Genomic DNA, 13,430 nt, shown 5'->3' with positions numbered 1-13,430 from the left:
CTGTATAAAAATAGACAATACTTAGAGGTCAATCTGACAAAAGATGTGAAAGACCTCCAAATTGAAAGAGTAAAAAATCCTTGGAAGAAGTGGAAGAAGACCTGAATAAATAGGGACATCCAAGGTTCGTGGATTAGTAAGTTCAATACTGTTAAGATGTCAACTCTCCCTGCATTTATAGAAATTCACAGGTCCATTCTAAAACACATATGGAAAAGCAGAGGAGGAGAAGAGCTAAAACAATCCGGAAAAAGAACACAATTGAAGAGCTAACATTCTAAGAATTCATATAAGACCAGTGTAAGCAAAACTTGAGTGATACTGGTGTAAAAATATTCAAGTAGATCCAAAAGAAAACGGTCCAGAAATCAGCTTACACACACAGACTGATGACTTTTTTTCAGGCAGGGTCTCACTCTGTTGCCCAGGCTGGAGTGCAGTGGTGCAATCTCTGCTCGCTGCAGCCTCAAATTCCCAGGCTCTAGGGATCCTCCCACCTCAGCCGCCCAAGTAGCTGGGACCGCAGGCACCCACCACCATGCACAGTTCAGACTTTTGACAAAGGTGCAAAGGCGACTCGGTGCACAACTGTAGCTTCTTCAAGAAACCATGCTGCAGCAATTTCATATTCTGGAACAACTGGATCTCCATATGCAAAAAGAAAAAGAAGAATAATTTGCATTCGTACCTCACACTATACACAAACATTAACTCAAAAAGGATCGTGGGTCTAAATGTAAAGCTGGAGCCATAAAAACACAGGAGAAAATCTTTATGGCTCTGGATAAGGCAAAGATTTCTCAGACATGATACCAAAAGCACAATTCCTAAAAGAACAAATTGACAAACTGAAATTCATCAAAAATGTTTAAAATTTGCTCTTCAGATGGTTAACGGTGAGAGGACAAGGCCACCAACCAGGAGAAAAATCTTTGCAAATCTATTTCATCAAGGATTGATTCAGAATATATACAAAGAACTCTCACGGTGGCTCACGCCTGTAATCCCAGCACTTTGGGAGGCTAAGGCAGGCGGATCACTTGAGGTCAGGAATTCGAGACCAGCCTGAACAACATGGTGAAACCCCACCTCTACTAAAAATACAAAAATTAGCCCGGCGTGGTGGCAAATGCCTGTAGTTCCAGCTACCTGGGAGGCTGAGGCAGGAGAATCGCTTGAACCCAGGAGACGGAGGTTGCAGTGGGCCAAGATGGCGCCACTGCACTCCAGCCTGGGCAACAAGAGCAAAACTCCATCTCAAAAAAAAAAAGAAAGAAAGAACTCTCAAACTCAACAATAGGAAAACAAATAACCCAATTTTACAGCAACGGGCAAAAGATCTGAACAGATGCTTCCCCCAGCAAGATGTATCAGTGGTGAAGTAGCACGTGCAAAGCTGCACGGCACCCCTGGTGCCGGGAGACACGCAAGCCAAAATCACAGACCGCACCCTCCACGTCTAGGAAGGGCCAAAGTCAGCGAGATGAACCATTCCAACTGCAACAAGAAATGAGAGCTAGGCCGTTTCTGAACAAGTTTCACACACACCTCCCACGGCATCTAGTCGTTTTATTTCTAGGCCTCTCCCCAAGAGTAAAGGAAATGTATGTCCTTCTGAAAACCTGTGTGTGAATGTAAATGGCCACATTACTTTCCATCATTCAAAACTGGAAACCACCCTGATGTCCACCAAGAGACGAACAGATGAGCGGGTTGGGGTGTACCCATGCTGTGGCAATAAAAATGAGTGTTTACAACAGACACAGCAGCAAGCATGGATCTCAGAATAGTTATGCTACGTGACAGAAGTCAGACAAGGAGTGCGTGCGTGCTGCAGGATGCCATTTATGTAACACTGTAAAAAAGCACAAACCCTTGGGTGCAGGGCTCATGCCTGTAATCCCAGCACTCTGGGAGGTGGAGGCAGGGGGGGTCGCTTGAGCCCAAGAGTTTGAAGCCAGCCTGGGCAACATAGCAAGACCTCGTCTCTACAAAAAAAATCAAAAACTTAGCCAGGTGTGGTGGTGGGCACCTGCGGTCCCAGCTACTTGGGAGGCTGAAGCAGGAGGATCCGTTGAGCCCAGGAGGTTGAGGCTGCAAGGAGCTCTCATTGTGCCACTGCACTCCCAGCCTGGGAAACAGAGTGAGGCTCTGACACACACACACACACACACACACACACACTCCCACACTCCCAGCCTGGGAAACAGAGTGAGGCTCTGACACACACACACACACATTCCAGCCTGGGAAACAGAGAACTTGTCACACACACACATACACACAAACACACACACACTCCCAGCCCGGGAAACAGAGTGAGGCCCTATCACACACACACACACACACACTCCCACACTCCAGCCATCCACCCACCCACCTACCCATCCACTCATTCATCCCTTCCTCCATCCATCCTTCCCGCTCTCTGTCCATCCATTCATCTATCCCTTCACCCATCCATCCACCCACCCATCTACCCATCCACTCATCCATCTCTCCATTCATCCATCCACCTATCCATTCACTCACTCACCTATCTATCTATCCGTCCTTTCATCCATCCTTTCATCTACCCATCCACACATCCATCCCTCCATTCATCCATCCACCTATCCATCCATCCACCTGTCCATCCACTCTCATCCATCCCTTCATCCATCCATCCATCTACCCATCCATGCATCCATCCCTTCATTCATCAATCCCTCCATTATCTATCTATCCATCCATCCAACCACCTACCCATCCCTTCATTTATCGCTCCTTCCATCCATCCATCCACCCACCCACCTACCCATTCACTCACTCATCCCTCCCTCCATCCCCCCTCTCTCCCTCTGTCCATTCATCCAGCCATCCCTTCATCCATCCATCCACTCATCTACCTATCCACTCATGCATCCCTCCTTTCATCCATCCACCTATCCATTCACTAACCCATCCATCCATCCATCCAGCCAGCCAGCCAGCCAGCCAGCCATCCTCCCACCCACCCATCCATTCACCCACCTATTCACCCACTCATCCATCCATTAGTCCATCCATCCACCCACCTGCTTACCCATTCACTCATCCATACATCCCTCTATCCATTCATCCATCCCCTATTCATCCACTCACCCATCCCTCCACTCACCCACCCAACCATTCATCCACTCACCCACCTACCCATCCATTCACCTGCTTATCCGTCCACTCATCCATCCATCTATCAATCCATCCATCCACCCACCCACCCACTTACTCATTCACTCATCCATATGTCCGTCTATCCATTCATCCATCCCCTATTCATCCACTCACCCATCCCTCCACTCACCCACCCAACCATTCATCCACTCACCCACCTACCCATCCATTCACCTGCTTATCCGTCCACTCATCCATCCATCAATCCATCCATCCACCCACCCACCCACTTACTCATTCACTCATCCACATATCCCTCTATCCATTCATCCATCCCCTATTCATCCACTCACCCATCCCTCCACTCGCTCATCCAGCCATTCATCCACTCACCCACCTACCCATCCATTCACCCACCTATCTGTCCACTCATCCATCCATTCATCTGATCATCTATCCATTCGTCCACCCACCTACCCATCCATCCATCCACCCACTTGCCCACCCAGCCATTCATCCACTCGCCCACCTACCCATCCATTCACCCACCTATCCATCCACTCATCCATCCATTAATCTATTCATCTATCCATTCGTCCACCCACCTACCCATCCATCCATCCACCCACCCATCCACCCATTTGTCTGTTTTCCAAACCTTCACTGAGCACCTCCTGTGTGGTGTTGGGGGAGGCCCCGAGGTGGATCTTGCCCTCAGTGGGTGCGAAGTCAAGGCACAGAAGTTTATATTGGGCTAGTCCTGGTTGGGGTAGGGATATCACAGACATTCTGGAAAAGGAAGCCCGGACCCCACCCATTGTGTGTGCTCTGACTTAGGCCACCAGAGAGCTTATGTCCTGGCGTCTTATACTGCAAAGGCCATGAGACAGGTCAGACTGCCTGAACCCAGAGGCCACAGCATGCTGTGCAGTGTGGGAATGGGCTGGCCACTGGCCCAACATTTCCATCCTGGCCAGCCCTGCCCCCTTAGTGAGTACAAGACAGCCAGCACATGAGAATACACAGGGAGCTTTATTATACAAAATGGCGGGGTGGGGGGCGGCAAGCAGCGGGGGACGCAGCATCAAGCATCCTGCATGGCCGTTATCAGCCCTTGACCTGCAGTTTCTCCTTGGATCTGGGGGGGTGACCCACCCTCTCTGCACAGGCTGTGCCTCAACCTCCTAACTTCCTAGAAGGCACTTGGCCTCTCCAGGGGTAAGTCCCTTTGGCCAATGATCAGGAGTTTCTTTCCTCCCCCAAGTAACAAGAAGCGGAGCTGGGTGGGGAGGGCGGGGGCGGTGGTCAGAGAGTGGAAGGGCAGAGAGGCTAAAGGGTCCAGGAGCAAAAGGAGGTGGCAGCGGATGGCATCAAAGAGGCGAGGGTAGGTCATGCTGGCAACAGGAAGCAACTTCTTAGCCAGGGCCGGGGGGCGGGTGTCTGGCTGGAATCTCCCCTGGGTACATGGAGGGTGCCAGCCGGCTGGACCTGCAGACCCAGGAAGCTGGAACATAGGCATGGGGTGCAGGGGGCATTAGGCTAGGGTCCAGGGAGGGGCCACAGACCTGCCTCCTGCAAGCCCACAGAGCCTGCTCCCCGAGCCTCTCTCTGCTGGCCTCCCTGCCCTGCCCACACCCCCACTCCACCACAGGAGAAGACGTCCTGCCTCAGAGGCCTGCTTCCCAGTGCGAGCACTTGTGCCCTGGGTCAGGACCTCTGGCTGGAGACCTGACTCCTGGTGGAGGGAAGGCGGCCTGCCTGCCAAGCAGCCTGCCCACCCTGGGAGCTAGAACTGGGGTTCTCGTGGTTCCTGCAGTCCCGTCATCCAGAGGAGGCCGGTAGCTGAGAGCAGTCCTAAGCAGGCTCCTTCCGCCCCCACCCCTCCAGCAGCTCTGTTCTTGCCTTGGCAGAGCCAGCCCCCACCAGCGGCAGCCCCCAGGACTCCCTCCTTCCCCAAACCAGAGAGCCTCTGGCTCGGACAGATGCCATTTGTCAATGTCCTTGCAAACACGTGGTGCCCAGAAACCAGGGTGGGCGGCTTGGCCGGGCCACCCCAGACAGGAGGTCTGCGGGAATATCCCATTTAGCATAGCTCAGCGAAAACTGCTCCCACCTTCCGGCCAATCTACCTCTGATGATGCAGCCTCGGCTTTCCCAAGCCTCTTGGCCGCCACCCCTCACCGCTGGCTCGCAGCGGACGCGCCTGTGGTTGAGCCGGCGACAACAGGGCGCCCCTCACGTGTCTGGGGGCAGCCGCTCTTCCAGCCCTGGGCTTGGCCAGCAGCTGGCCAGGGGCATGCCTGTCACTTGGGGCTCACCCGCGTCTCCGTCTCCCACCCCAGCCCACACGGTGTTGCGGCCTGACCCAGGCTGTGTACTTGGGGCCTGCTTTGTGCTGGGGTGGCATGGAGGACAGAGCCCTGGAGGCAGGTTCTAGCCCCATCCCTGGAGGGACTCGGCCTCTGTGGCCTCATTTCTACACTAGGGTGATGGTGGGGCCACCCCAAAGTCCCCAAGGCACAGTCGAGCTCAGCATGTCCCTGGCAGGTTCTGGGTGCTCAGGAAGCAGAATACTCAGGCCTCCACACCCCTGGCCCCAGGTCCTCCTTGGACCACAGGAGACACAGGCCTCCCACCTCAGGAGGGAGGAGGGCTGGCCTGACCACTGTCCCTCCCACCCTAGGACACAGTCATGCTCATATCGGCTGCGTCGATGGCACCCGAGGTGTGCGGCCCAAGCCTCCAGGGAACCCCTGGACCCCCACCGCCCCTGCTGCCCAAGCCAGGGAAGGACAACTTGCGTTTGCAGAAGCTCCTGAGGAAGGCAGCCCGGAAGAAGATGATGGGAGGCACACACCTCGCTCCACCCAGGGCCTTCCGCACCTCCCTGTCCCCCGTGAGTGAGGCCAGCCATGACCAGGAGGTCACAGCCCCGCACGCTGCTGAGGGCCCGCACCCCGCCGAAGCCCCACGCCTTCCTGAAGCCCCACGCCCCGCCGAGGCTCCCCGCATGGTGGCTGCCCTACCCCGCTCCCCGCACACCCCCATCATCCACCACGTGGCATCACCCCTGCAGAAGTCCACGTTCTCCATCGGCCTCACCCAGCGCAGGATTCTAGCTGCTCAATTCAGGGCCATGGGGCCCCAGGTTGTAGCCTCGGCCCCAGAACCTACCCGGCCCCCCAGTGGCTTCGTCCCTGTCTCTGGGGGTGGGGGCACCCACGTCACCCAGGTGCACATCCAGCTGGCACCATCCCCACACAATGGGACCCCTGAGCCTCCCAGGACAGCCCCAGAAGTGGGATCCAACAGCCAGGATGGAGATGCCACCCCAAGTCCCCCCAGGGCCCAGCCCCTGGTCCCAGTGGCTCACATCCGCCCACTGCCCACCACAGTCCAGGCTGCCAGTCCCTTGCCTGAGGAGCCCCCTGTACCACGGCCGCCACCCGGCTTCCAGGCCTCAGTGCCCAGAGAGGCTAGTGCCAGGGTTGTGGTGCCCATAGCCCCGACCTGCCGCTCGCTGGAGTCCTCACCGCACAGCCTGGTCCCCATGGGCCCTGGCAGAGAGCACCTGGAGGAGCCCCCGATGGCTGGCCCCGCCGCTGAGGCCGAGCGAGTGTCCAGCCCTGCCTGGGCCTCATCCCCTACCCCACCATCAGGCCCTCACCCATGCCCTGTCCCCAAAGTTGCACCCAAGCCCCGGCTCAGTGGCTGGACGTGGCTCAAGAAGCAGCTGCTGGAGGAGGCCCCAGAGCCTCCGTGCCCAGAGCCGCGGCAGAGCCTGGAGCCAGAGGTGCCCACCCCCACAGAGCAGGAGGTGCCTGCCCCCACAGAGCAGGAGGTGCCCGCCCTCACCGCACCCCGGGCCCCCGCCTCCCGGACCTCCAGGATGTGGGATGCCGTGCTGTACCGCATGTCAGTGGCGGAGGCCCAAGGGCGCCTGGCAGGGCCCAGCGGTGGGGAGCACACCCCAGCCAGCCTCACCCGCCTGCCCTTCCTGTACCGGCCTCGCTTCAACGCCCGGAAGCTGCAGGAGGCCACCCGGCCCCCTCCCACAGTCCGCTCCATCCTGGAGCTGAGCCCCCAGCCCAAGAACTTCAACCGCACAGCGACTGGCTGGAGGCTCCAGTGAAGTGGCCAGAATGGCCCCCAGAGCCCAGGACCATGGGATGGACAGAAGAAGGGGCTGAGGCTCTAGCTGGGGGCCCATAGTTGCTGCATGAAGATGCACCAGGGCCCAAGGGGCATGGGGTGCAGGGCAGCCTGGGAAGGGCACATGGGGTGCTGAGGGAAGTCTGCATGGTTAGGAGGGTGGTCAGGTGGACGGGGCAGAGAGGACGAGCTGGAGCCCCTGGGCTGCAGTGGTGTGAGGGGAACAGAGAAGGGGTCTGCGTCGGGATGTAGGATGGGGGCCTTGGGATGAAAACTTTAGGTAAGATGGCAGAGGACTGCATCTACTGACCTAGCCCAGGCTCCTCAGGGGCCTGGGCCTCTCACTGATCCTCCCTTTTGCTGTCACCTTTTGCTGTCAAAGGTTTGGGGCCAGATCTCTGCTTGCTGAGGCATGGGTGCGGTCAGGCTGGCTTGGCCATCGGCGTCAGGAGCAGTCAGCAGTTTTGCTGCCTGTGCTTCCTGATGGCAGAGCCAGATCCTGGGACTAGGGTGCAGGGGGGAGCCCTCAGCCAGCGTGGGACTTGGCACCAATACAAGTGCTCAGGGGCAGGCAGGGAGGGGCTCATCAGGGGTGGAGGAGGGCCCAGCGTGACCTCTCTCTCGGCCCACCTCTGCTTCCCCTACCTGGGCTGACAGCCTGAGGGGGCAGAACTCGAGGGATTCGCTGGTGGGACAGCGAGGGTCTCAGCACTGGCCATGCCCAGGCTTTGACAGCTGGATGAGGAGGGAGCCCTCAGTCCCAACCCTATGGGAACAGCTTGGCCAAGCGGGACAGAGAAGGGGCTGTGGCCCTGGTGGGGAGAGTGGAGGGGCCTACTCAGCAGTCAGCCAGGCTCTGGTGGGGGTGGCCAACCACAGGAGAGGGACACAGAGGTACCAGAAAAAGCCTCTGCCACAGCTGCTTGAGAGTCAGGGTTTGGCAGGGGAAGATGGTAGGAGGACAGCTGCCCCACCCTGTGGTGTGATGGGTGCTGGAAATGGAGCCTGGGGCCCAGGTCACTAATAAATGTGTGTCTCACCATGGCAGGAGTGGCACTGCTCTGTCTGCAGCATGGGATGGGGAGGGCATCAGGACCTCTGAATCGCTCTCGGCTGGGACAGGGAGTAGGACCTAAGTTCCTGCCCCTCTATGGACCCTCAGCATACAGATGGTCAGGGAACCTGGGCTCCATGCCACCTGCTTCCTTCAATGCTAGCCCTGTGGTGGCCAGGCTGCCCCTCACTTCCCTCACGAGCCCTGCTGTGGCTTTTGGGGAGTCCCAGATGGGAGCCTTGAGCTTCCCTAGTGGAGCAGTGGCTGAGCCGGGCTGACTCTAGTGAAATGAGCAGAGAGTTTGAATCTGGTATCAGGTGAGAGAGGCAGCATCTGCACAGGACTGGGAGACTGAGCTGGTCTGGGTTCTGGCCAACTCGGAGTCCACCCTTGTAGCCTGCAACAGGGCTCCAGGCAGCCTCCAGGTTGCCAAGTTCCCAGCACAGTGCACGTGTGTGCACCTCATCCCCTTCTGTGAGTTGCCAGGGACTCACCGAGATGGGACGCCTAGGGAGCCGGGCCCCCTTCCACAAGCACCTTCTCATACTTCCCATGCCCGGTGGCCACAAACTTATACCTCTTCCCAGATGGGGTGCTCTGTTGGGAAAGGAGACCAAGAGTGAAGGTGAGAGCAGCAGAAAGGAGATGATGCTGCCTCCGCCTCTGGGAAGCCCTCCCAGATGCACAGAGGACAGTCCCTCTTTGCCCTCCCCTGCTGCACCCACCCTGCCTGCACCAACCACATTTAGGCTCTACCTTAATTGTTGATGAGGTCTTGGAGCCTCCCTTCTGCTCCCAGAGGCTTTTCTTGCTCATGTCTCCAGCCACAATATCCTGGGGGCAGCAGAAGGGTATGTCACAAGGGCAGACCCCTGGATCTTGGGGAGTAGAAGCCCTGGGCCCTTCTCTCCCGCCTTGCCTTACCTGGCCAGGGGGCCTGGGATCTGCCTACCTAAACTTTTTCTGTGTGATCCCAGTGGAAGAGGCAGGGAAAGGAATAAAGGTGCCATCTACCTCCACTCGGACAACACAGCCTTCTACACCAGCAAGGGTGAACCCAACCCTACTGCAATACCTCAGGGTTCTGTATACCCACATTCATCCTGGACAGTCCCATGCTTGTCTTAACAAGGAAACCCGGCCTGCTACTAAACTCCCAGGCGCTGGCTCTGCAGCCCAGCCTTGCCCCTGGAGGGGACCTTACCTTGCAGGACGGAGTCTTGGCCGCAGACTGAGCCTGTACCTCACCCGTCTCCCACCGACTCTTGGTACTGGCCACAGCCATGCTGGGCAGCTCTATGGAGGCCTGGCGGGCTAGCTTGGGGGTCCGGCCAGCGGTCTGCAGAGGAGGAAAAGCATCAGGATTACCTTAGTGGACAGCCACCGTGGTCACATCAGAGGGTCACACTGGGCAACCGTCTGCTTTGTGTTTGTGTTTTCCCTGGGAGCGCTTTCCCAATGCAGCCCCAGAGTGGGGATCACTGGAAAGATGAGCCTTCCTCCATTCGATGCAGTTGTGAGACACCTCCCTGTCCTGAAGAGCATCAGGGAGATGATGGCGCACAGGACAGATGTGGGTCTGCCTCCATGCTCCTCATGGGGTAGGGCTGGGGGACCATGGGATGGATGGAGGGACATTGAATGGATAGAGGGACAATGGTTAAATTTCAGAGTATTGGTTGGATGGAGGAGCATTGATTAGATGGAGGAGTATTGGTTGTATAGAAAGGTGTTGATAGATGAAGGAATATTGATTGGATGGAGGAGTACTGATTATATGAGGGAGTGTTTGTTAGATGGAGGGGCATTGATTGAATGGAGTAGTATTGGTTGGATAGAGCCGTATTGGTTCAATGAAGGGGCATTGATTGCATGCAACGACGTTGATTGGATAAAGGAGTATTGGTTGGATGGAGGGGCACTGGTAGGATGGAAAGGTATTGACTGGATGGAGGAGCAGTGAATGAATGAAGGAGTATTGATTGGATGGGGAAGTATTGGTTGGATGGAGGAATATTGATAGGATACAGGAGCATTGATAGGACGGAGGAGTACTGGTTGGATGGAGAGGCATTAATTGGATGGAGGAATATTGGTTGGATAGAAGGATGTTGGTTGGATAGAGGAACATTGATTGCATGGAGGAGTACTGGTTGGATGGAGGAGTATTGGTTGGTTGAAGGGGGATTAATTGAAATCAGAAGTATTGCTTGACTAGAAGGGCGCTGATTGGGTGAAGGAGTAAAGTATGGATGGAGGGGCATTAATTGCATAGAAGAGCACTGATTGGATGGAGGAATACTGGTAAGATAGAGGAGTGCTTGTTGGATAAGTGAGTACTGGGTGGATGGAGGGGCACTGGGTGGATGGAGGGGCACTGATTTAGTAGAGTGTTGGTTGGATGGAAGGATACTGGTTAGATGGAGATGTCCTGATTAGATAAAGAAGTATTGGTTGAATAGAAGGGCATTGATTGGAAGCAGAGGCATTGATTGGGTGAAACTATTTTGGTTGGATGGAGGGAAATTGATGGGATAGAAGGCCATTGATTGGGTGCAAGGCATTATTGGATGGAGGGGCATTGACTGGATGAAGTTGTTTTGGTTGGCTGGAGGGGAATTGATTGAATGGAGGAGCACTGAATGAATAGGGGTATTGATTGGATGAAGGTGTATTGGTTGGATTGAAGGGAGTTGGTGGATGAAGGACTATTGGTTGGATGCAGGGACATTGACTGGATGGAAGAGTATTGGATGATTGGATGGAGAGGTACCGATTGAATGGAGGGGCTGGCATGTGGGACTGGCATTGGTTACATGGTGAGCCATTCATTGGATAGATGAGTATTGGTTGGATGGAGGGTATTGGTCAGATGGAGAAGCATTGATGGATGGAGGAGAATTGATTGGATGGGAGGGACATTGATTGGATGGAGGGACATTGGATGCAGAGGCACTGATTGGATGGAGTAGTATTGGATGGAGGGATGAATCTTGATTGGATGGAGGGGCACTGATTGGATTAAGGAGTACTGGTTGGATAAAGGGGGATTGATTGACTGGAGGAATATTGGCTGGATAGAGGAGCATTGATAGGATGAAAGAGCATTGATTGGGTGGTGGAGTACTGTTCCGAGGGGGGCATTGATTGAATGGAGGAACACTGAATAATTGGAGGAGTATTGGTTGCAGGAGTATTGGTTGTATAAAGGAACATTAATTGGATGCAGAAGCATTGATAGGATGGGAGATTATTGGTTGGATGGAGTAGCATTGATTGAAAGGGGGGGCATTGATTACATGGAGTGACATTGATTAGATGGAGGGGCATTGATTGGGTAGAGGGGCACTGACTGGATGGAGAAGCATTGGTTGGATAGGGTGTTGGTTGAATAAGGCGGCACTGATTGGATGGAAGGGCGTTGGTTGGATGAAGGAATGGTGCCAGGATGCAGGAGGGACCTGACAGCAGAGGGGAGCCAGGTCATACCTCGATGGCCTGGGTGTATTGTTCCAGCCACTGATCAATCTTGGAGATGGGCAAGTCTGGCTGGGATTTCTTCACACTGTTACTGGAGGGTAGAAGATGTGTCAGGCCCCATGTCTCCCACAAGGCTTCTCCCAACCTGCCCAAGCCTCTCCCAGAGCCCCCCTCGGTCTCCAGATCTCTACCTTGTGACTCCCTTCAACCCCCACTTGGTTAAACCTAAGATCTGAGCCCAGAAAGCAGACAGACAGACAGACAGACCTCTTCTCTATGGAGCGGTTTAGGGACTCGGTCCTGTCGATGAGCTGCAGAGGGTGGAGAGAGACACAGGCCTGCAGCAGCCGAGGTAAAGCCCACCCTCCATCTCCCCAGCTACTCCAACCACTAATCCAACCCCCAACCCTTATATCATGGGGGTTCGCTGAGCACCGGGCAATGGGGGGATAGCAGACAAAAGCCAGGCCTGGGCCTGGTCTTCCTGTGGCTGGCATGTGGGATTGGCCTTTTGGGTATGAGTACGGGAGAGGGGAGAAGATGGCAGGCTTTGCAGCTTAACTTACTTTGGTGGTAGGGCTCAGGGGAGGCGAGCTCTGTTCGATGGTCCCCTCCAAGACCAAGGGGCTGGGTGTCCTGGGCTGCTGACATTTCTGGTGCTAGAAAAAAAAAAACAGACATCCCAAGTGACCCCCTGCTTGTGCCCCTCCTGCCCTGCCCAGCACCTGTGGGAACAAATGCTGTTCCTTCCTGAGCCCCAGGTTCTCTGTGGCCCTGACGTGCTCCAGTTCTGGAGCTGGTGGGGAGGGACTGAGGAGTCTGGAGAGATGTCTCCGGATCTTGCAAGAGGATCACTGAGCCTTGCCCTCTCTGAGAATGTGGGCCCAGAAGGGGCTGCAAGGTCTAGGGGTGTGGGGTGCTGACCCACTCTGGGCTAGACCCACAGGGCCCACAGAGTGGTGCAGACAGCCAAGGCAGACTCATCCCTGGGGTGGGGGTACACCCAGACCCTCTGAGGTGGAGCCATCACCTCCTCCTGTTCCTCCTCAGCCCCTGCGGCCCCCAGGTTGTCCTGGACAGTGTCCTCTGGGCCTGGCCCCTCCTTGCTCAGACTCAACTCCTCCAGGTGGACTTCATCACTGTCCTCCTTTTCGTAGGCATGCAGGCCGGGCCTGTGGGTGGAAAGGGAGGCAAAGCCGTTCTAGGGCCATTGGATTGCTTGGTTGACCCCTTCCTTTTTCCAAGCCTCAGTTTCCCCATCTGTAAAATGAAGGTAGTCAGGCTACTTGAGTGCCAAGGGATCTGAGACCCAAGCCCATTGGGAAAGAAGGTCCAGTGGCCTCAGAGCCAGCGCAGTCTGCTTGGGCCCCTGTGTCAGGGCCTGAGGCCCCTGGGGAACTGCCCAGTCCCTGCCAGACAGGGCTCTACAGACTGAGGGTCCCCCAGGCACTGAGGCTGGGTTCAATCCCCAGCTTTGTGGCTGGGCCTCAGCTTGGCAGCTGCTTGCACACCCGGTTGGTCTGACGGGGTCCCCGCGAGGCCGGGCTGCTGGGGCCACCACTCCTGCTCTGCTCCCTGTGGGGGCCCTTGGGTGTTTGGGGGACTGGAGGCT

The 13,430-nt window shown here is 55.9% G+C and overlaps 2 protein-coding genes across 8 annotated transcripts in view, besides 1 other annotated feature; one reads left to right on the top strand and one right to left on the bottom strand.

The window, feature by feature from the left end:
* PRR33 (proline rich 33) overlaps positions 1-8,422 on the top strand; it is a 29,722-nt gene extending 21,300 nt beyond the window's left edge. Inside the window, exon 2 of one of the 2 annotated variants that reach the window (XM_047426236.1) lies at positions 5,816-8,422. In XM_047426236.1, the coding sequence (XP_047282192.1) occupies positions 5,825-7,264 (1,440 nt within the window). In that variant the 5' untranslated portion in view covers positions 5,816-5,824 and the 3' untranslated portion in view covers positions 7,265-8,422. Of the gene's footprint in view, positions 1-4,513 lie in introns of those variants that run through there. The other variant, NM_001395380.1, reaches the window with a different exon arrangement.
* Positions 4,146-13,430, bottom strand: part of LSP1 (lymphocyte specific protein 1) — a 39,180-nt gene continuing 29,895 nt past the window's right edge. For all 6 annotated transcript variants that reach the window (NM_002339.3, NM_001242932.2, NM_001013253.2 and 3 more), the window contains 8 exons: positions 12,849-12,990; positions 12,385-12,477; positions 12,086-12,129; positions 11,828-11,909; positions 9,543-9,677; positions 9,095-9,172; positions 8,833-8,935; positions 4,146-4,636 (listed from right to left, as the gene is read on the bottom strand). In NM_002339.3, coding sequence (NP_002330.1) covers positions 8,846-8,935; positions 9,095-9,172; positions 9,543-9,677; positions 11,828-11,909; positions 12,086-12,129; positions 12,385-12,477; positions 12,849-12,990 — 664 coding nt within the window. In that variant the 3' untranslated portion in view covers positions 4,146-4,636; positions 8,833-8,845. The remainder of the gene's footprint in view (positions 4,637-8,832; positions 8,936-9,094; positions 9,173-9,542; positions 9,678-11,827; positions 11,910-12,085; positions 12,130-12,384; positions 12,478-12,848; positions 12,991-13,430) is intronic.
* Positions 9,036-9,202: a silencer, noted in NCBI's record as "fragment chr11:1908437-1908603 (GRCh37/hg19 assembly coordinates)". NCBI's record gives its function as "represses an EF-1alpha promoter that drives an FKBP-Casp9 reporter gene in an ReSE screen in phorbol 12-myristate 13-acetate-treated (for megakaryocytic differentiation) K562 erythroleukemia cells {active_cell/tissue: K562(+PMA)}" and the evidence as "EXISTENCE:reporter gene assay evidence [ECO:0000049][PMID:32094911]".

The sequence above is a fragment of the Homo sapiens genome, chromosome 11, assembly GCF_000001405.40.
Source record: "Homo sapiens chromosome 11, GRCh38.p14 Primary Assembly".
In the NCBI taxonomy this organism is placed as follows: Eukaryota; Metazoa; Chordata; class Mammalia; order Primates; family Hominidae; genus Homo; species Homo sapiens.
Note: the sequence above shows the minus strand (reverse complement) of the source record. Positions and strands in the feature narration are given on the sequence as shown.